At 41.7% G+C, this 22,809-nt stretch overlaps 1 protein-coding gene, 1 long non-coding RNA gene and 1 pseudogene across 3 annotated transcripts in view, besides 1 other annotated feature; 1 reads left to right on the top strand and 2 right to left on the bottom strand.

Moving 5' to 3' along the window:
* Nucleotides 1–1,405: 1,405 nt before the first annotated feature.
* LHFPL3-AS2 (LHFPL3 antisense RNA 2) overlaps nt 1,406–22,809 on the top strand; it is a 32,018-nt gene continuing 10,614 nt past the window's right edge. The window contains exons 1-3 of the long non-coding RNA NR_027374.1: nt 1,406–1,598; nt 7,626–7,666; nt 15,975–16,135. This is a non-coding gene — a long non-coding RNA (LHFPL3 antisense RNA 2). The remainder of the gene's footprint in view (nt 1,599–7,625; nt 7,667–15,974; nt 16,136–22,809) is intronic.
* On the bottom strand, nt 15,906–16,178 carry RN7SL8P (RNA, 7SL, cytoplasmic 8, pseudogene; annotated as a pseudogene).
* Nucleotides 17,716–17,872: a silencer, noted in NCBI's record as "fragment chr7:104550626-104550782 (GRCh37/hg19 assembly coordinates)". NCBI's record gives its function as "represses an EF-1alpha promoter that drives an FKBP-Casp9 reporter gene in an ReSE screen in K562 erythroleukemia cells {active_cell/tissue: K562}" and the evidence as "EXISTENCE:reporter gene assay evidence [ECO:0000049][PMID:32094911]".
* The window catches only part of LHFPL3 (LHFPL tetraspan subfamily member 3), a 579,959-nt gene continuing 576,639 nt past the window's right edge, over nt 19,490–22,809 (bottom strand). For both annotated transcript variants that reach the window (NM_001386065.1, NM_199000.3), the window contains one exon: nt 19,490–21,864. Coding sequence is in view for 1 of the 2 variants with exons in the window: in NM_199000.3 (NP_945351.1) it covers nt 21,836–21,864 (29 nt within the window). In the remaining variant the exon portion in view is untranslated. The remainder of the gene's footprint in view (nt 21,865–22,809) is intronic.

The raw sequence follows: 22,809 nt of genomic DNA, 5'->3' as shown, positions 1-22,809 counted from the left end.
TTCTGAGATAGTGGGGGTTAGGACTTCAACATATGAATTTATGGGAAGACACAGTTTAGCCCATAACAAGTTTATTCTGTTCACCCTGGTGTGGCCAGGGTAGCTTGCCGGCTTCCTTTCTGGCACATGTGGGTACATGTTCCTCTGAGCTTTCCCTCAATGTCTTCTTTTTCTAACTTCTTATGAAGATATTTAAACATGTGGTAGAATACATACCTATCCATGCACCCACCCTCACCTAAATTCAGGACTGGCTAATATTTGCCAAGTGTCATTTATTTACACATGCACATGTAGGAGACCAGAATATGCTTCCCGTAAATATGAAGGATTGTCGAGCTGAAGACAATTAAGAAGGAGATGGAGAAAGCTCTCTGCCCTCCCTCTATTTGCCTAAAAGCAGGACATAGATTTCCAGAGACAAAAGATATCCTGGCCTCCTCTTCTACCAGGGAGAACAAAGGTTAACTACTAAAGACAGCATTGGACCGTTTGGGCCTGGAGGTGATACTGGAGGAAATCTACACCAAGGAGCTCTCCTAACCAGCCTTTATCTGCCAATTATTTGCCTTCCCACAAGTTGCCACCCCTAGAGACTCAAAGACTATTTACTATGCTTTCGGCTTCCACCAACACATGGGACAGAGCTGTTTCAGGATGGGACCTGGGTTAGGTTAATTCTAGCTTTTTCTGGGCTGTTAGGCTGGAAGTGGCTTCTCAGCAGCAATACCAGCTGGTCGCGAAGGCTTTCTCCAGCAGGGCCCGCCCACAGCCCGCTCCTGCTCTACCTTAGCAGTAGGAAAGCTTTGGCATCCCCAGACGACAGGCTCACCAAGAACTCAAGTGCTCATTCAATAAAACACACACAGCTGAAGGGAAAGTCTGTAATTTGAGTATGTGTGTGGGCAGAACAGTTTCCCACCCCAGCACACTTGATTATTTGTGCTAATGGGGCGGGGGCTGGGGAGGGGGAGTCTGGGTCCCCAGTGTGACCCCCAGACTATTTACACATGGAGGAGCTTTATCTGGCTTTGGGAAGTGTGAGGTCGAGAGGTGATAACTTAGGGTTCCTCCCTGGGCATCAGGGAATCCCTGAAATTCTGTGCACACGTTTTTAGGAGTGGCGATGTATATCTTCCTAGGGAGAGAGGCCCTATTTACTGTCAGATTTTTGAAGGGAGACCCTGACCCCTAAGGTTAAAAATCATTACTCTGTGACTAATCCAGATAAAGTTCTATTGGTTTAGTATTAACTTTAGCTAATTTAAAATAAGTTTACCTTTCCTAAGAGATTTCCGTTCAATTGGCTGGGGATTTGGCTAGGTGGTGGGAAAATGTTAAGTAGAGTGAAAAATGTATCACTGATTAACCAGTGGAAATTTATTACAGCAGTTAAGAGCCCTGGGTCTGGAGCAAAACTGCTGAGGTTTGAGGCCCCGTTTTGCTGCTCACTAGCTACATGATCTTGGGCAAGTTATTTAAGCTCTCTGAGCTTCAGTTTCTTCCTCTGCAGAATGGGGATGAAAGTGGACTACTACCTCATGGCATGTTTTGAGGATGAAATGAGCTAATAAACACAGTCTTCAGCCCTACATTAGGTAAGCCATTCTTATTATTTGTTCTATTATCTATCTATCTATCTATCTATCTATCTATCTATCTATCTATCTATCTATCTATCTTGAGACAGAGTTTAGCTCTGTTGCCCAGGCTGGAGTACAGTGGTGCAATCTCGGCTCACTACAACCTCCGCCTCCTGGGTTCAAGTGATTCTCCTGCCTCAGCGTCCAGAGTAGCTGGGATTACAGGCGTGGGTTACCACGCCCAGCTAATTTTTCTATTTTTTTTTGTAGAGACAGGCACCCTTGATTATTTGGCCCAGCTGGTCTCGAACTCCTGCCTTCTCGAACTCCTGATCTGGCCACCTCTGCCTCCAAAAGTGCTGGGATTACAGGCGTGAGCCACTGCACCTGGCCTATTTCTTATTTAACAAGGTGGAATTGTTATTGGTGGCAGCGCCTTTGTGGCAGGAAGATGTTAAGGCTATGTCCCCTACATCAGAGTAGGCTGGGTTCTCCCATCTCTCTGGGATTCCTCTCTCCTCCCAGACCATCTAAAGCCAGCTTGGTCTTCAGGCTGATTCAAGAAGTACTTTCTCAGTATCTCCCAGCACATTCCACACTCCAACCCAGTTTATCCCTCTCTTCTCAATAGCCTATAACCCCCACGTAAACAAATACCCACACGTATTATGTATATTAGAAATGGGCTGGGCACGGTGGCTCACGCCTGTAATCCCAGCACTTTGGGAGGCCGAGGTGAGGGGATCACGAGGTCAGGAGTTTCAGACCAGCCTGGCCAACATGGTGAAACCCTGTCTCTACTAAAAATACAAAAATTAGCTGGGCATGATGGCCTGTAATCCCAGCTACTCGGGAGGCTGAGGCTGGATAATTGCTTGAACCCGGGAGTCAGAGGTTGCAGTGAGCCGAGATCAAGCCATTGCACTCCAGCTCTAGGTGACAGGGCAAGACTCCATCTCAGAAAAAAAAAAAGAAAAAGAAATGGAGTACTTTTCCTATATCAGGCACTCTGTGTGTGTGTGCATACTTCTATATATAAAACTTCATTTGGTCCTTACAGCAACTCTGTGAGGCATACCTCATACCTTATTAGCCCAATTTTACAGATGGGGAAATTGAGGCACAGATAGGTAAGTGATTATACCTCAATCCACAAAGCTAGTAAACAGTAAATCTGAGATTAAGATCTGCATATTTGAAGCCAATTCACCTTGCTGTTATTTAGTCATTTACTTCCTTGCAACTTCACTTACAGCGTAAGATATTCCTCTTTCTTTCTTTTTTTTTGTAATTGAAACAGGGTCTCACTCTGTTGCCCAGGCTGGAGTGCAGTGGCAAGATCATAGCTCACTGCAGCCTTGAACTTCTGGGTTCAAGTGATCCTCTTGCCCCAGCCTCCTAAGTAGCTGGGACTACAGGCACCCACCACAATGCCAGCACAATTTTTTAACTTTTTGTACAGATGAGGTCTCACTGTGTTGTGCAGGATGGTCTCAAACTCATGACCTCAAGTGATCCTCCTGCATTGGCCTCCAAAAGCATTGGGATTACAGGCATAAGCCACTATGCTTGGCCAGTATTTTGGTTTTCATATTATGTTAAAAAGTCTATAAATTCCTTTAAGACAGAGATGATTTCTTAGACTATTTTTCTTTTTCTTTTCTTTTTTTTTTTGAGACTGAGTTTCACTCTTGTTGCCCAGGCTGGAGTGCAATGGCACAATCTTGGCTCACTGCAACCTCCGCCTCCCAGGTTCAAGCCATTCTCCTGCCTCAGCCTCCCAAGTAGCTAGGATTACAGGCGTGTGCCACCATGCCCGGCTAATTTTTGTATTTTTAGTAGAGACAGGGTTTCACCATGTAGGTCAGGCTGGTCTCGAACTCCTGACCTCAGGTGATCCACCTGCCTCGGCCCCCCAACGTGCTGGGATTACAGGCATGAGCCACAGTGCCCAGCCCTTCTTAGACTATTTTTCATTCCTCATAGAACCTAGGACAATATCTGGGACATAATGGGAACCCAATAAATAGTTGTCTATGAATTGTTGACCGATTATATGTAGATGGGAAGCAGCTAAAATATGTTCACGGTGTTTGTTTAATAATGTAACTATTTTCTTATACTATAAGCAGATTTTTTGGTTTATCATTTCTGCATAACAGGATTTAAACATACATGATATGTTACTATTAATGCTACACTCTTTCTAATGTGTCTATAGAAAGAATAAAAGTATAAGTGAAGTTGGTTGTACAATTATTATTATCACCAGAGCAAGTTGTGCTTGCTCTGAGGCAATTCCTCACTCCGGTTTTAAAATGTTGAGAAGGGTCTGGGCGTGGTGGCTCACGCCTGTAATCATAGCACTTTAGGAGGCCGAGGCGATGGATCACCTGAGGTCAGGAGTTTGAGACCACCCTGGCCAACACGGTGAAACCACGTCTCTACTAAAAATACAAAAACTAGCTGGGTGTGGTGTCGGGTGCCTGTAATCCCAGATACTCGGGAGGCTGAGGCAGGAGAATCGCTTGAATCCAAGGCGAGGAGGTTGCATTTAGCTGAGATTGTGCCACTTGACTCCAGCCTGGGCGAAAGAGTGAGACTCCGTCTCAAAAATAAAATAAAATAAAATATAAATATAAATAAAATTAAAAAATTAAATGTTGAGAAGGAAGAAGAGGAATATTCCCTGTTCTAACTTCTTTCCTTTGATCCTCAGTCTTGAGAATAAATTTATCATCCCCATTCTTATGAGGAAACTGAGGCTCAGAGAGTCCATGCTATTCACCCAGGGAGTGGTGGAATCAGGATTTAAAGGCAGTGTGCTTGTCTCCAAAGCCCCAACTCTTTCTACTAACAGATAATCATGATTTTAAATTCAATACTCTGTTAGTTATCCATTACTATGTAACAAATGACCCCTAAAGGTATCGGTTTATTGATAACATTAAATGTAAACATTAAACAATAAACATTTATTCTGAGGGTCAGGGAATCTGGGACCAGCTTAGCTGGGTAGCTCTGAGGCAGTCTTTCATGAAGTTGCAGCCAGGCTGTTCACTGGGGTTGTGGTCATCTCAAGGATTGACCGGGGCTGGAAAATCTGTGTATAAACTCACTCAAATGGTTGTTGGCAGGCCTCAGTTCTTTGCTGGCTGTTGGCTAGGGTGTCAGTTCCTTGCTTTCCAGGCCTTTCCATGGGCTGCCTGCCTGTCCTCACAACATGGCGACTGGCTTCCCTTGTGAGTGATGAGAGAGCCCATGATGGAAGTCATGGTATCTTAAAACCAAATATTGGAAGTAATACACCATTTTCTGCCTTATGCTGTTGGTCACACAGACCGACTTTGACAGAGTGTGGGAGGAGATTACACAAGGGTGTGAATACCCAGAGGTAAAGATCGCTGGGGCCACCTTGTGGAAGTTGGCTACCACAAGTACTTGGGCCAATTTTAGGGTCAATTGGATAAGGTCCAAATGGTGGCAACTAACAGTGCCAAGTGCACTGGCCATTTTGCAGGTACTTTTGGGCTTATTCTTTGGCGGCATATGAAGCCCACTGATGTCTCCCCTGGGCTGTGAATGTACTTGGTACTGTTGGGCCTAATAGAATATTTCTATAAAGTCTACTCTGAAGCTGCAGCCCTGAGTATAGAAGGAGCAGAGAATCCAATGCCTCTATATTTATTTTTCTTCTAAGAACTTGTACATATTTATAAGGAGACCTGGAACTTGAACTTCCAGCTTCTGTAATTGTAGATAAGGCAATGTGACCTATGGCAGGAAGAGCAGGTTGGGGATCAAGGACTTCGACACTGGAGTCAGAATCTCTACTCTGCCATTTACTAAGTGTGTGACTTTGGAAAGTTATTTCACTTCTCTGAGCTTTCATTTCCTTTACTGTAAAATAGTAATAGCATACAGTTTCTTTTGGGGGTGAGGATTAACTGAGATAAAGCACAATGTGGCAAACTGTGTTTTCCAAAGTTGGCTACACCAATATGTAGCTACATATCACATCCTACATGCTCTTTCTACGCTGTGTCATGAGAGGTGGGGTGTATGTCTCCTTCCTTTCTAAGGAATTTAGACAGATCTTTGTAACCGCACCAAGTGATGGAACATGGCCAAAGGGATGCTGAATGATTTCCAGAGTGAGGTCATAAAAGGCAATACTTTTTTCTCTGGTTCTGTCTTGGAATACTTTTTTTCCTCCCTTTTTTCCCCCTGTTTTGAGACAGAGTTTTGCTCTGTTCCCCGGGCTGAAGTGCAGTGGTGAAATCAGGGCTCACTGTAGCCTCAACCTCCTGGCCTCAAGCAATCTCTCCCACCTCAGCCTCCTGAGTTTCTGGGACTACAGGTGTGTGCCACCACACCTGGATAATTTTTAAATTTTTTGTAGAGACAGTGTCTCACTATGTTGCCCAGACTGGTCTCAAACTCCTGGGCTCAAGTGATTCTCCTGCCTTGACCTTCCAAAGCGCTGGGATTACAGACATGTGCTACTGCACGCTGCTGATGCTTGCCTTTTGATCCCAGCTGCCATGTTGTGAGGAAGCCCAGGCCACATAGTGAGGCCAGGTGTGGGTGATGCTGCTGGCCCTTAGTCAACAGCCAGTATGAACTGTTAGGCATGTACATGAAGAAGCCATCAGCCTATTCCAGCCTCCAGCCTTCAAGTTTTTTGGTTGAAGTTCCAGACATTCTGGAGGAGATTAGCCATCTCCACTGTGCTCTGTTTGAATTCCTGGCCCACAGAAAATGTGACAGATAGTAAGACTGTTGTTTTACAGCACAGTGTTTGGAAGTGACTTGTTATGTAGCAATAAATAAGTAATAAATTTGGGTTATACATTTTTAAAAAATGTATGCCTCACTGTAAGATATTTTCAAAACACTGGGCCAAAACTTTGTTTTTTCACAAGATGACTGTTTCCTAGAAGGGTTTTGGGGAAGGGACATTTTGATTTTGTTTTTCCCTGGCTGCTTTTACACATAAGATTACTTACTCTGAGTATAACGTATGTAAGAACAGACTTTTCATTCTCTATCTGCGGAGCTGTCTCATGGATTTCCAGTCCATTGCTGGGGGTTGAGCCACAGCTGTTTCTGGATTTGGCTTATCTTTTGGTTCATTGGTTCATTTGAGTTGTTTTTCAGCATTAATCAGTAGGCATCGAAGTTGTTCACATTCATTTCTTGCTCTGCACACAAATGTAATTAGGATCATGTCCACTTTTTTGACATTTTCCTTCTTTTAAAAGTGTAACCTTGATTACCAGACCAAGGCAGCTATAGGGGAAAATTAGAGCTCAGGTTGGAGTCAAAGGGCAATTGTTGCACCAGTCCTCCCAGCTTTCTAGGATCCCAGAGTGTTGCATCTTCTTCCTTCCTCTAAAGGTGCCTGCCTATGTGTGTTGGTATGTGTGTGTGGTGGGGTGGGGGAGGGAAGATGGGGGAGCTCGGAAGGTCTCCTTTGAGTTCCTGGTGCATCCTGGCCACTATCCTTGTCCTCTGGATGTGGTCCTGGGCTGCCCAGCAAGCATATGGATGTAATGAGGGTAAAGGAAGTGGGAAAGAGGAGCATGTGGCCAGGGCTCTGGCCTGCCTGTACTTTTAAAAGAAAATTGTGATAAAATACACATAACATGAAATTTACCATTTTAATTATTTTCAAGTGTACAATTTACATTCACATTGTTGTTGTGGAGGTTTTTTTCTTTTTTGTACAATACATCATGACCCTCAACACATTGTTATCACTGCTATATTCATAGCTAGAGTTTTTCATTATTCCAAAGTGAAAGCCTGTGTCTGTTAAACGTGAACTCCCCTTTCCTCCGTTCCTGTAGCCTCTGGTCACTTCTATTCTACTTTTTGTCTCTATGAATTGACTATTCTAGGTACTTCATATAAGTGGAATCATACAATATGTGTCCTTTTGTGTCTAATTTATTCACTTAGTATAATGTTTCCAAGGTTCATCCACTTGTGGCATGTATTAGAATTTCATTCTTTTTAAGACTGAATTTTGTTCATTAGGATGGCCTAAGGAAAACAAGAAGACTGAATGATATTCCCTGGTATGTATATTTCTCATTCTGTTTATCCATTCCTCCATCAGTAGACATTTGGGTTGTTTCTACCTTTTGGCTATCATAATACTGTTATGAACATTGGCATATATTTATCTGTTTGAGTTCAATTCCTTTATACCCAGAAATGCAACTGCTGGATCATATGGTGATTCTAGCATCCAGAGTCCTGATCTTGGTCTTTACTGTGTCTAAGGATCTATTTTCCGGTGGAATGAGACCCGGAGCTTCCCTGCTATCTCAGCATCCCACGGGGCTATGCAAATTAGGCTCACTGTGCTCTGGTTGTGTTTTATTGAACATTTACTTTGTGCTAGCCTCTGTGCTAAGTATAGTGTCTCTTAAATTACTCTATGAGTAGGTTTGATTATTATCCATATTTTGCAGATTAGAAAACTGAGGCATGGAGATGTTACATAACTGACCTAAGGGCACACAGATTGCAGGTGCTGAGCTAGGATTTGGACCCAGAGAGCATCATGCTAGTTCCCATGCATTTAACCTTTATGCAATTCTGCCTTTCCAAACAGATTGGCCATTAAATTCAACATCCAGGATTGTATTTGTTTATCTAGGAGAAATGAACTGCTTTAATTATGGTAAAAATCAAAGATGTAAATAAAAAAGCTAATGTAAGAAGCCCACTAGTCTCTGTGGTTTAATAGGATACTAGTGGGACATCTCTTTCATATATATATGTATATATATATGTGTGTGTGTGTGTGTGTGTGTGTGTGTATATATATATATATTTGTTGTTTGTTTATTTTTGAGACAGGTTCTCACTCTGTCATCCAAGCTAGAGTGCAGTGGGGTAAAACACGGCTCACTGCAGCCTCGATCTCTTGGCTCAAGCTATCCTCCTGCCTCAGCCTCCTGTTTATCTGGGACCACAGGTGCGCACTATGCCTGGTTAATTTTTTAATTTTTATTTTGTAGAGATGAGGTCTCACTATATTGCCCAGCTGGTCTTGAACTCCTGGCTCAAGCAATCCTCCCACCTTGGCCTCCCAAAGTGCTGGGATTACAAGCGTGAGCCACCATGCTTGGGCTCTCTTTAATATTTATGATAAAAAATTTTTTCTTAGTCTGTAAGGTATATGAGGGAACTTTGTTGTGTATAGGAGGTAGTCTTCTCTCTATATTTGCAAATGTAAATGCTCTATTTAAGATGTGGCACTCGCTGGGCACGGTGGCTCACGCCTGTAATCCCAGCACTTTGGGAAGCTGAGGCGGGCAGACCACGAGCTCAGGAGTTTGAGACAAGCCTGGCCAACATAGTGAAACCCTGTCTCGACTAAAAATTTAAAAATTTAGCCTGGCATGGTGGCGGACGCCTGTAATCCCAGCTACTCGGGAGGCTGAGGTAGGAGAATCGCTTGAACCCAGGAGGTGGAGGTTGCAGTGAGCCGAGATCGCGCCACTGAACTCCAGCCTGGCAACAGAGCGAGACTCCATCTCAAAAAAAAAAAAAAAAAAAAAAAAGAAAAGAAAAAATAGATGTGGCACTACATTGCCCTTAAGGATAACCCTGTGGATCTATATAAATTTAGCATGTTGAAACTGTCAATGAAATGTATCACTAGATGGCAGTACAAACCAAGTTTTAAAAACAACTGATTTTTAAATCTGCAAGATAAGTTAACCTGTAGGAAAGCAGCTGCATCGTTTTTGACATGATCAGGGCAACTGTATTTAATTCAGAATTGATTTTAATCACCTAGAAGAGAATTCACAATCTTTGTTAAGGCAGAAGGCCTGACAAGTGTAAAGGCTTTTACAAGGAAAGCTGCTCCTAAAATGTAAAAAATTATTGCTTTGGAGGAAGCCAAAGTTTCAAGTAAATGTTTTGACTTGAGAAACTTTGCATCAGCAAGATAGCGTCACATCTACACACTTACTTTTTGAATTCTTTCAGTTTTCCAGCCTGGTTTGGCTAAGAATCAACCTTTACTCCATAATTACAAATGTAACAGCCAATTTTGTCCTCAGGTGAAGTTCCATTCAGTTAATGCCAGAGAAAAATCCAGTGCTTAAATAATGTGGGAAGTTAGGATTGACACACAGTTTGGTTTGACATCTGAGGCCCTGAACTTATTGACTTGTGGTGGGATAACGAAACAGATCTCACCTGTCAGAAGAGGAGTCCCAACTTTTTCTTTGAGAGAGGAGTAGCCGGTAGTACGGGGTGAGGTAAACGCATTTACTTACCTTGGTTCACGAGGGTTTGGCTCTCATCTGATGAATTTTAATGTTCTAACTTGTTTCCTGACTAGGTGAGAGAATTAATGTTTCATTTCAGAGGAAGCTATACACTTACACCTGGATGCCAAATTCTCTCAAAAGGGAAAACTGATTTAGAAATGGATTTTTCTTTTTTTTTTTCCTCCAGCTGACTTATATAAGTTATTAGTCTTCTAGAAGGATCACAAGGAACCAGCATCAAAGAAATGGAATCCAGCTAATTCCCCCAAGAAACTGAAGTTTTCGGGACATGACTTGTGAAAGGCAAACATAAGCTGACATCTTTTCACACTGAACAGCAAGAGCCAAAGTGTATCCGAAAAGCCATTGTCAAAACAAGGAGTGAGAACAGCTGGGGTCAAGACCTAATGAAGGGCATCACTCAGCCTCTTTGAGCCTCGGATTCCTCATTTGTAAAGTGGGCATAATAATACCTCACAGGGTAGTTATGAGGGCAAATGAGATAATGGACACGAAGGCACCTGTACACTCCACGGTGCTATCAGAATATTGACTATTAGTGCTTTCATCACGCGGCTCCATCCAAACCCCTGCTTTCCCTCACTCCAGTAAGTGGTTGCCCTCCACCCACCCCCCATCTTCTAATAATGTAGACTGGAAACCCAAGCATCATCTTTGTCCTCCTTTTCATTCCCTGACCCCAGTTGGTCTTCATCCACAGTCTCTTTTTTTTTTTTTCTTTTTTGAGACAGAGTCTCACTCTGTCACAGAGGCTGGAGTGCAGTGGCGCGATCTTGGCTCACTGCAACCTCTACCTCCTGGGTTCAAGCGATTCTCCTGACTCAGCCTCCCAAGTAGCTGGGACTAAAGGTGCCCACCACCACACACAGCCACTTTTTCTATTTTTAGTACAGACGAGGTTTCACCATGTTGGCCAGGCTCCTGACCTTGAACTCCTGACCTGGTTTTGCTCCTGACCAGGCTCCTGGTCTTGAACTCCTGACCTCGTGATCCACCTGCCTTGGCCTCCCAAAGTGCTGGGATTACAGGCGTGAGCCACTGTGCCCGGCCCATCCCTCAGTCTATATTTCCATAACTGGAAGAATCTCCTAAGTGGGCTGTAATCTAGCCTTGCGTGACTCCATCCTGCTCACTAATAAAGAAATAATCCTCTTAAAATCACACTTGGATTATTCTTTTCCGTTTTTCAGAAACTTTCAATGGTTTCCCATTGCCTGCAGAATAAAGTCCAACCTTCAAAGTAGCTGGAATTAAAAACCATTAACAATCTGGCCTCCCTACCTAAATAACATCAATGAGAGGGCCACACAGAAGTCAGATATATGGAAATTAAAACATGTTTTACTGGTGGATAAATGCTGTACTAGAGGATAGGTTATGTGGCCAAAAGAGTTTGCTGACAATTTCTGCTTCCCATTCCCCCAGTCTAGACCTTCAGACACAGTCCACCTGAGGCTTGTCTTCCTCTCCGTGGTCATTTAGAGTTGATCCTACTCATCCTTTTCCCCCACTGCAGGCTTCCCAAGGGTTCCTGCAGCCCTTGGCATCTGTCTCACTCACCTGTCCCTTCGCATGTTCTGCCATGATGTTTAGCTTCTTTCTTGAGAGTATGCCCTCTTCATAGAAGTCAGAAACTCCTGGCCCACTGGCTAAACCTGATCCCTAGAGGTTTTTCTGACTCTCACAATGTTGGCCTGCACTGTGTTTGACAATGCATCAACTTACCTGACAATTTGTATTCTATTTATTTTTTTTTAGAAGAGGAGTCTCACTTTGTCACCCAGCCTGGAGTGCAGTGGTGAGATCATAGCTCACTGCAGCCTTGACCTCATGGGCTCAAAAAATCCTCCTGTTGGGACTACAGATGCTCACCACCATGCCTGGCTAATTTAAAATTTTTTTGTAGAGACAGGGTCTCACTATATTGTCCAGACTGGTCTCAAATTCCTGGCCTCCACCAATCCTCCCACCTCATTCTCCCAAAGTGCTGGGATTATAGGCATGAGCCACTGCGTCTGGCCTATATTCTAAAAAAATTCTGCTGAGAAACTAGGAAAGCTAGCAGCCTTGGTTTCTCAGGTTTGACTTGCAACAATTGACTTCTTGTAAATGTTGCCTATATTGCTTTCTCTACCACCTCAACATCAACTTTTTCCCAATTCGCTCCTCATATTTCTGCTATTTCATGAAGATTGCTCTTGTTAATGTCACCAAGAGCCTCCACAATTGCCAAATCCAGTAGTTTGTCTCTGCTTTTGTCTTACTTGCCCTTTTGGCAGCATTTGCCACTTAATCATGCTTTTCTTTTTTCTTTTTTAGACAGGCTTTTACTCTGTCACCCATGCTGGAGTGCAGTGGTGCAATCTTGGCTCACTGAAACCTCTGCCTCCTGGATTCAAGCGATCCTCCCACCTCAGCCTCCCGAGTAGCTGGGACTACAGGTGAGGGCCACCATGCCTGGTAATTTTTGTATTTTTAGTAGAGACAGGGTTTCACCATGTTGACCAGGCTGGTCTCAAACTCCTGACCTCAGGTGATCTGCCCGCCTTGGCTTCCAAAAGTGCTGGGATTACAGGCATGAGCCACCATGCCTGGTCGACACTTAATCATTCTCTACTTGTTTTTTTAAAATTTTATTTTTACAGTGTCACTCTCAGGATATCTACTTCTTAAAATACTTTTTCTCCCTCTTGGATTCCGTAACAACCCATTTTGCGGGTCCCTCTTAATCTGCTTTGCTGACTTCTGTCCGTTGTTCCAAGTCAGGTGGTCTCAGCTTGGTCTAGCATCCTCTTCTCTATTTGTACATTCTTCCTAAATGATTTCATCTAGCTTCAAATCTTTAAAAGCCATCTATTTGCCATGACTACTAACTTTGGATTTGTAGCCTAGGCTCCTCCCTAGAACTCTACTAATAGCCTACTTGATATCTAAAAATGAATTTCTTTCTTTCTCTCTTTTTTTTTTTGAGACGGAGTCTCACTCTGTCGCCCAGGCTGGAGTGCAATGGCGTGATCTTGGCTCACTGCAACCTCTGCCTCCTGGGTTCAAACAATTCTCCTGCCTCAGCCTCCCAAGTAGGCATGAGTAGGATTGCTAATTTTTGTATTTTTAGTAGAGATGGGGTTTCGTCATGTTGGCCAGGGTGGTCTCAAAACTCCTGACCTCAGATGATCCACCTGCCTCGGCTTCCCAAAGTGCTAGGATTACAGGCGTAAGCCACTGCTCCCGGCTATGAATTGAATTTCTAATAAGCAGCTTAAACTTAAAAAAGAAGTTTTGGAGTTTTATCTCCCAAACCCCTGCTTCTTCTCCTCTTCTTCCTTTCTCAGTAAATAGCACCACTATCTACCCTCAGAGCAAAAAAAAAACCTAGTAGCTCTCTCTCCTCATCTTCCACATTCAATCCCTCAACAAGTCTTATGTTCCAAAAACACACTTCTCTTTAGCAGATGCCATAATGTGCTACGCAGAGCCCTTCCCAGGACTGCAGGACTTATTCCCACAGCTGCTGGGCATGCTGCCACCTCACAGCCCTCTGCCCTCTCCGCAAATTGCCCTCAGCTGCAGAGAGCCACCTTACCCAAGATCACATCCCTTCCTGCTTGCATATAAAGGCCCACTCCCTCAGTAACCCAAGACAACTCTGGAAGGCCACCCCAGCACATCCCAGTGCTGCCTGTGGGGTCAGCTAAGGCCCTCATGGAGACCTCCTCAGAGCCCAGCATCTCCTCCTGCCTAGACTGTGTCCTTCCCTCCCCTTCTGGAAACCAAATCTGCAACATTATCCCAAGTGTACCTGCCTCTTTCTATCTTGCTGTTACGATTTTGGTTAAGCCACCACCTTCTCTCACCTTGACTGCTGCATTGCCTTTCCCCGTCTCCTTGCTTTTGCTCTTCATTCGACCATTCATTTCTTTCACAACTGTCAGCTATTCATACTGTTTTGCTGTGTCTCCACCCAAATCTCATTTTGAATTGTAACTCCCACAATTCCCGCGTATTGTGGGAGGAACCCGGTGGGAGGTGACTGAATTATGAGGGCGGGTCTTTCCTGCGCTGTTCTCGTGATAGTAAATGAGTCTCACGTGATCTGGTGGTTTATTTATTTTATTTTATTTATTTATTTTTTTGAGACAGAGTCTCGCTCTGTCGCCCAGGCTGGAGTGCAGTGGCGCGATCTCGGCTCACTGCAAGCTTGGCCCCCTGGGTTCACGCCATTCTCCTGCCTCAGCCTCCCGAGTAGCTGGGACTACAGGCGCCCGCCACTACGCCCGGCTAATTTTTTGTATATTTAGTAGAGATGGGGTTTCACCGTGTTAGCCACGGTGGTCCCGATTTCCTGACCTCGTGATCTGCCCGCCTTCACCTCCCAAAGTGCTGGGATTACAGGCGTGAGCCACCACGCCCGGCGAGATCTGATGGTTTAAAAAAACAAGAGGTCCCCTGCACAAGCTCTCTCTTTGCCTGCTGCCATTCATGCAAGATGTGACTTGCTCCTTTTTGCCTTCTGCCATGATTGTGAGGCCTCCCCAGCCACGTGGAACTGTGAGTCCAGTTAAACCTTTTCTTTTATAAATTGCCCAGTCTTGGGTATGTCTTTATCAGCAGTGTGAAAATGGACTAATACAGCTATGTTTTATTTTTTATTTTCTTAGGGATAGAGTCTTGCTCAGTCCATTCTCAGCTGGAGTACAGTGGCACAATCATAGCTCACTGCAGCTTCAAACTCCTGGACTGAAGCAATCCTCCCACCTCAGCCTCCCACCTCAGCCTCCCCAGTAGCTGGGACTACAGGCATGCGTTATCATGCCAGGCTGATTTTTATTTTTTATTTTTTTCAAGATGGGGGTCTTGATACGTTGCCCAGGCTGGTCTAGAACTCCTGGCTTCAAGCGATCCTTTTGCCTTGGCCTCCCGAAGTGCTGGGTTACAGGTGTGAGCCACTGCACCTGACCCTAGTTATCTTTTTAAGATATTCTGTTTATTTGATCTTATTTCATTAGATTATATTTGATACAAAAATGTAACATATATACAATTTAAGAAGTGTAAAACAAATGAGCCTATGAACTGTCCACTCAAATTCTGAACTATTGACATAGCCTGTATGCATTTCCCTGATTGTAACCCCTCCCTACTCTTCAGAAGTAAACACAATTCTGGATTTTTTTTTTTGTTATTCCTATACTTACATCTTTATAATTGTAGCATAGATGTATTTATTGCTAAACAATATACAGTTTAGTTTCTCTTTTTTTTTGAGATTTATATGTGGAGCCATAGTATATTTTCTGCAATTTGTTTTTTTCCGCATTCAACATTGTATTTCTGATCTAATGTAATCATTTATATTGAAGTTTGTAACTGAGGTTTATTCATTTCCATGCTTACAGAGGTATTAAATTAGTCAATTAAAAATACTGCAAATTGTAAATAGTTTATTTATCCTTGTTGATGGACATTTTCCTTGTATTTTTAGCAATCTGTTAGACGAAGGTTTTCCATTTTTGTACATGGTTTTTGGTGCTTATGTGCAAGAATTTCTCCAGCATATATACCTAGGAATAAAACTGATGAATTTAGTGCATGCAAATGTTCAGTTGTAGAAGATAATGCCAAGTTGTTTTTCTTTTCCTCTCTTTTTTTTTTTTTTTTTTGGACAGAGTCTCATTCTCACCCAGGCTAGAACCGCCTCCGGGGTTCAAGCAATTCCTGTGCCTCAGCCTCCGGAGTAGCTGAGATTACAGGCACACGTCACCACGCCAAGCTAATTTTTGTATTTTTAGTAGAGATGGGGTTTCACCATGTTGGCCAGGCTGGCCTTGAACTCCTGACCTCAAGTGATCTGCCTGTCTTGGCCTCCCAAAGTTCTGGGAGTAGAGAGATGAGCCAGTGCGCTCTGTCTATTTTGACAGTTATTTTATCTCAGCAGTTTAAATATATCATGCTAATGTGTCTGGTATTTATTGTTGGCCCAGAAATTATTCCTTTGCAGGTGGTGCAAAGGATCAGCACGGGAGTTTTGACCTGCTCCGTTTCCGACCTGGGTCGGTTCACCCCTCCTTAGGCAACCTGGCGGTTCCCCGCTCCAGGGAGGTCACCCTCTTGATGCTGAATTTAGCACGGACACCTGATGGGCACAGTGCACTGCAGCCCAGAGCTCCTGAGCTCAAGCCATCCTCCTGCCTCAGCCTCCAAGTAGCCAGGACCACAGGCACGCACCCTGAGGTATGCCATTTCTCTTTGGTTCTTGTTATGGTAGTTCCTCTGTTTTTCCCTGTATTTTTACTGTCATGTCTTCCTTTATATTTATCTTGCTTGATATCTATTGTGCTTCCTATATGTGTGGATTCATATCTTTATCATTTTTGAAAAATTTTCAGACATTTTCTATTCAAATATTGCCTTTCCCTTATTCTCTCTATTTCTCCTGTTGGAAATCTGGTTAGATGTCTGTGTCTTCTCTGTTGTTTAACCTCTTTGTCATTTACCAACCCCTTGGCTTTTTGTATTGTATTCTGTGTAATTTCTTTAGATCTGTCTACTAGTTCACAGCTCCTCTCTTCAGTTATACCTGTTTGTAATTTACACATTGTACTTTAAATTTCAGTGATTATAGTTTTAATTTCTAAGACTTAAAAAATTTCCTTCTAATCTATCTGATTATATGTAATGTACTCTTTATTGTATTCATTGTTTTAGACGCTGTCTTTATTTCCTTAACATGTAAAACATGATTATTTTATATTGTGTATCTGGTAATTCCACTATCTAAAATCTGTAGGGTGATAAGTCGGCTGTTAGTTATATCTGCTGATTATCGCTTACAGTTTATTTGTATATTTAGTAATTTTTATTTTTATTTTTGAGACGGAGTCTCGCTGTCTCCCAGGCCGGAGTGCAGTGGCGCGATCTCGGCTCACTGCAAGCTCCGCCCCCCGGGTTCACGCCATTCTCCTGCCTCAGCCTCCCGAGTAGCTGGGACTACAGGCACCCGCCACCACGCCCGGCTAATTTTTTTCTTTTTGTATTTTTAGTAGAGACGGGGTTTCACCGTGTTCGCCAGGATGGTCTCGATCTCCTGACCTCGTGATCCGCCTGCCTCGGCCTCCCAAAGTGCTGGGATTATAGGCGTGAGCCACCGCGCCCAGCCATATTTAGTAATTTTAAAATTGCAATTGCATACTTTGTTGAGCTTAATTGGTGAGAGCTATGCGAGAGATGCTTTCCTCTAGACAACAAATGCTTGTATCTGCCTGGTACAAGGGGCCCTAAAAAGCTCTTTAATTTCTTGGTTGGGGTTTCTTTGATCATATGGAGAGTGTAAGACTGAATTCCATACTTGACGGGGGCAGGCATATGATAAATTTCAAGGGGTCATTATTATTTTTTTTTTCCATCTAGAGCCAGTGTGGAGATGGTGTTCTTGATAGATTTCTTTCGCTAGCATGAGGATTTTTCCTAGACCACTCTTGCCTAGGATGTAGCCATCTTCAAGCATCCTGCTTTTGGATGTGAATGTCAAATTTAACTCACCTGCTTCCAGTGGCCCAACGCTTAATCTTCCATTCCCTACTTTGTTATACAGATTTACCTTCAGGCAAGCCCAGTTTTTGCCTTTGCTTACATTTCACACTTAGTTTTCAGCTCACTCCACTTCTTTTTTGAAATGTTTTTGGAATTTCCCTTATTTTCTTATAATCTAAGCTGTGTGTTAAAAATAAACTTATTGTAATTTATCTAAGATTTAATAGTATGGCATAAGAAAGGCTTTTTAGAGGCTGGGCTCAATGGCTCACGCCTGTAATCCCAGCACTATGGGAGGCCAAGGTGGGTGGATAATGAGGTCAGGAGTTCAAGACTAGCCTGGCCAACATGGTGAAACCCCGTCTCTACTAAAAATACAAAAATTAGCTGGGCATGGTGGTGCGGAGGTTGCAGTTAGCCAAGATCGCCCCACTGCACTCCAACCTGGGTGACAGAGCCAGACTCCGTCTTAAAAAAAAAAAAAAAAAAAAAAAAAAAAGAAAGGCTTTTTAGAGTATCTAGTTTATACTGCTAGATGCCGAAACCAAAAGTAATCTTTTAGAAATGTGAAATAGTTTATATCACTCTTCTGCTTAAGATCCTCCAGTGGCTTTTTCTCACACTTAAAATGTACAAACTATCCTGGCCTACAAAGCCCAGAGCTGGGTCCTAGCTTAGCCCACGTGGCTCCCCACTCTGCCACCTTGCCGTTCCTGGTCTGGCATGCCTTCTGCTTTTTTCACACGTGGCTTTTAAACGTTTGTTCAGGTCTCACTCTAAATGCCACCTTTTCATGGAGGCCTTACCTGACTCCTCTCTCCATTTCTCTGTCAATCACCCTGTTTTAATTCTCTTTAGGGCATCTATTATTAGCTGACATTTTCCAGTCTATTGTCTGTCTTCCCCTACTAGAACATAAGACCTATGAAAGGAAAGCAGGGTTTTGTGTGATTCACCACTATATTCTCAGAGTTTAGAACAGTTCTTGGCACATAGTAGGAACTCAATACATATTTCTTGAATCATTAGAGCTGAGCGTTGACTACTTATTCCCTTTAGACGGGACCTAGGCTCTTCAGTGCTCCACAGTTCCCACTACTTCCTTTTAAAAATTTATTTTATTTTATTTAAAAAATTATTGTTGTTTTTTTTTTTTATTTTCAGAGAAGGGATCTCACTATATTGCCTAGGCTGGTCACATACTCCTGGACTCAAGTGATCCATCTGCCTCAGCCTCCCAAAGTACTGGGATTAGAGGCCACTGTGCCAGGCCAGTTCCTACTACGCCCTATTATGTCCCCAGCTGAGCTTGCTTTGTGAATTTATTGGCCCTTGTACGCATTTGAATTTTCAATCCCTGCTTATAAATGTCACTCTAATTGTCTTCAGGATCTTCAGAGCAGAGACTTTTTTTTATGTTTCTTTTCTTCCTTCAGTGTCTTGCATATAGTAGGAGGGGAAGGAATGAACATTCACTGAATATCCCCTACCTGTCAAACACAACAACAGTATAGTTTAATTTATATCCTTACAACAATGCTATGGAGCTGAGTAATATTATTTATATCTATTTTACCAGTGAGGACACTGAGGCTTAGAGTTGTTCAGAGTCATATAGTAAACCAAGGATCAGGGATTGGAACCCACTCAGACAACATATACCCAGTATGAAGTGTTGTTGCTTCATATACCCAGTATGAAGGGTTGCTCATGTGCGAGGAATGGTTGGTTGTTTTCAATTTGCAAAGGGGAGATTGGGCAATTGGATATTGCAGGTCAAGTTTTACTTGAGTAGTCCAGCTATTTATTTAGTTATCAATTTCATTCCACTGAGTGTATGGAGAATTAGCTGGAGATATTCCTACATTTGGCCAGAAGAGGCTTTGGAGATGTTAACCATGCCTTCTACATGAGAGTCCTGCTGTTGACAGATATGGAATCCAACAGCAGGGAGATTTTCCGAGATAGTTACTTCAGTGGAACCATCAGCTGTCACCAGATCACTGGACAAAGACAGAAACTGAATGCACCAAATATGTACCACACCACCAAAAATTCTTTTAAGTAACAAAATCTTATTTTTATTTTTATTTTTTTACAGAAATTCAGGTATTCCAACAAATTTCTTTACATTTCTTGGACCTTAAAAAAATTACACACAACTTTTGGACGCAATACAACAGAACAGAATGAGAAAGGGAGTCACCTTTTTTGTTTTTTTTTTAAAAAGATAAAAACCTACTTCTTATATTTAATTAACAATTAGTGATTTACATGTGTATTACCTATATACAAATGGTACATCGTCAATGACCCATCTTCAGAGCACTGTGGTATGCTAAATTACACTTAGGTTTTATGGCAAAAACTTTTTTAAAACATTCACATGTGGATAGGAAGTACTTTCTTAGTTTTGTTCATACCACTGTTAGTGATGTAGGACTCCCGATGGAATTTGTAGTTTGCATGGATTAGAGAAAGCCAATACCCTTTGTTTTTATTGTAGATAAAGTAGACAGGTACCTCCCTTCAAATAAAATACGAATTCTTGAAAAGTTGTGTGTAATTAAATTTAGTAAGTAGGGTGTTATGGATGTAGTAGGGAGCTAATACTTAAAGCAACAAATAATCCTCAGAATGACTAATACTTTAGTTGTAGATACTAAGTATTCCCTTAATTTGGTTCTTTAGAAAAGCCACATCTCTGTGAATTGGGTTTTACTCCTTTGAGCATACCCATAATATGCTTTTAGCCATTTGAAACATAATGCCATTTATGGTGAAAAGATGGCCCGTACCAGAAACATTTGGCTAAAATAGGAATGTGGTCCTAACAGAGAGAGGGTAAGAGAAGTGAACCCTGATCTGTATCACTTCTTGTGTTATCCTCCATCTGATGTTCTAGTGATATACACTGATTTGTTCTGATTTTGAATACATGAATAAAAGCATTCTACATGTCCATGTTTTCTCCTTAGGTATAGAACATGGTTTGGCTTCCATTAAGTACCCTTGCATGTATTTTAGCTTGTGTTCATTCTCAGGCAATGGGCTATTTCAATATTAAATATTTGTTTGTTGTTGGATATTAGCAGGATATGTGGTGAGGGTGATGATGGGGGAAGCCTGGGAGCAAATGATTGTTGAAGTCCACTGGTTAGTTGTTAACTACTTCCAGATGTCAGCCAACTAAAATGAATCTGAGTATTTTTGAAACCAACATTAGTAAACAAAAAGGTAACTTATTCCTACCGAGTTTTTTTCAACCTGTATAAGTATACAGTCATTTATTTCTAAGGCTATTAAATTATTATTTATTTTGTTAGTACCACTTACTATTATTTAGAAATATGTTTAATGGAATGATTTTTAAAAAAATAAAAATGAGTGCCCATCAGTAAGGGAAATAGAAGACATGGATTTCTGATAACATGTATGGCAAAGAAATAGGAAAAAAGTAGGAGACATTTTAGATACTTATTTATAAAGTATATTAAATTCCTATGCATATACTAGGGAGAATTAGAAAAAAAGTGTTTATTTGATAGTAGCCTATAATATTACACGTGAGCTTCCAAGGTGAAAATGAACTTTTTCTATATTTTTCAGAGTTCCTTGATGCTGTTTCCTGAAAGATAGGGAAATCTATGTTGCTTGGGAACCTATGATGTAAAGATGTACTTCCTGTAATATACAGCTTGATGGAGTAATAGTATATGGCATAAACACTTTCTCAGTAATAACTTGTATGGACAGATTAAACAGAACACAGACTTGGTAAAAAGTTTGAAGCGTTACGTCTCTTAATAACTGAGTGGTTGTAACTAATTACACAGTGAAGTAAATGAATGGTAGAGATGAAGAACCAAAGGTCACGGCTCCTATGAAAACATTCAGAGGCATTTTCTAAGATGCTTCCTCAATAAATGACGCTTGATCAGCCTCTTGGCTATTGAGATAGGAATAATTTAGAACTAACTGCCTTTTTAAAAATTCTGTTGAAAGGTTAAAGCTTTTTGTTTTCAGTTTGATTTAAAAAGGACAGTTTACAAACCTCAGTACGTATATATTTTACATGTTAACTCTAGAGCATTTATATTCCTCTTCCTTATTTCCTGAATATGATTTTTCATGAACGTTTTCTGATCTCATCCAATGAGTTTCCAATGAGCTGGTGTTTAATCCATGATCACATCTCTTTCCAGAAAATCACTCCCATCTCTGCTGATCTAGATTTAGAAAGTGCGTTGACAAGTGAATGTTCCATTCTTGTTCATATTCATCTATATACTCTGATCTCTCTCAGGCGTATTCCTTCTTGATGTTGATGTACAAAAGCTGTTATTCGATTCGTTTAGCTGTTATTCGATTTGTTTAGCTGTTATTCGATTTGTTTTGTGCTCATTCTAGAGAATATTGGCTTAGCAGAACTGCAGAAATTGGAGGGAAGAGAGAGAAAAAGGGTGGGGGGAGAGAAAAAATACATCATTTTCTGTCTGCAAGATTTTTGTGCATAATATTTGTCACGGAAAAACTATACCAATGAATGGTTCAAATGCATTTTGCATTTGTTACCAAACAATACTGGAAAGTTTGAGATTTCTGTTCCATTCAACCCACAGTACAGTCTTCCCAGCAAGAAGAACATGAGTATTCCCTCCATCTGGGTCAAGATTAGAGGCTGCTTTGAAGGAGCAAGGAAAAATGTGGACTGTTCCCAAGTATCACTGACTTTTCTGCTTAGCATGGAAAAATGTGTCACTTGAGTGTTTTCCTTTTCTTTCCAAGTTTTATTTATTTGAACTCAACATTATAGCAGCTACAAAAGAAATTATTATAAAGATTAATGACCCACAATTTAATCACTTGGACACAACTGTTTTCTTCCTATATTTCTTTCCATTCCTTATCTAAATGGGAAATTATTTTATACAATTGTAATTACAGTATAGATGATACTTTAAACATTTAAACATTACATTAAAGACAATTTTCTAAATTTCCATTGTCCATATCAGCATAAGTTTCTTTTATTTATTTATTTACTTAATTTATAATATAGAGACAGGGTTTCACCATGTTGCCCAGGCTGATCTCGAACTCCTGAGCTGAAGTGAGCCACCTTCCCCAGCCTCCCAGAGTGTAGGGATGACAGGTGTGCGCTACTGTGCCCCACCATCAGCATGAATTTTCAATGGCTGCATAATATTCTGCCTCATTCTCATTCCTTTCTACTCTATGCTCAATATTCCATTTGCAACTGTTTCACTATTGTCAGACATATAGGAAGGTTTCTGATTTATTATTATAAATATGAATATCTTTTATATAAAGATCTATTTATATTTTAAAATATTTCTTGGCTGGGTGTTACG

Source organism: Homo sapiens, chromosome 7 (assembly GCF_000001405.40).
Source record: "Homo sapiens chromosome 7, GRCh38.p14 Primary Assembly".
Taxonomy (NCBI): domain Eukaryota; kingdom Metazoa; phylum Chordata; class Mammalia; order Primates; family Hominidae; genus Homo; species Homo sapiens.
This window is presented reverse-complemented; position numbering and strand designations above follow the sequence as displayed.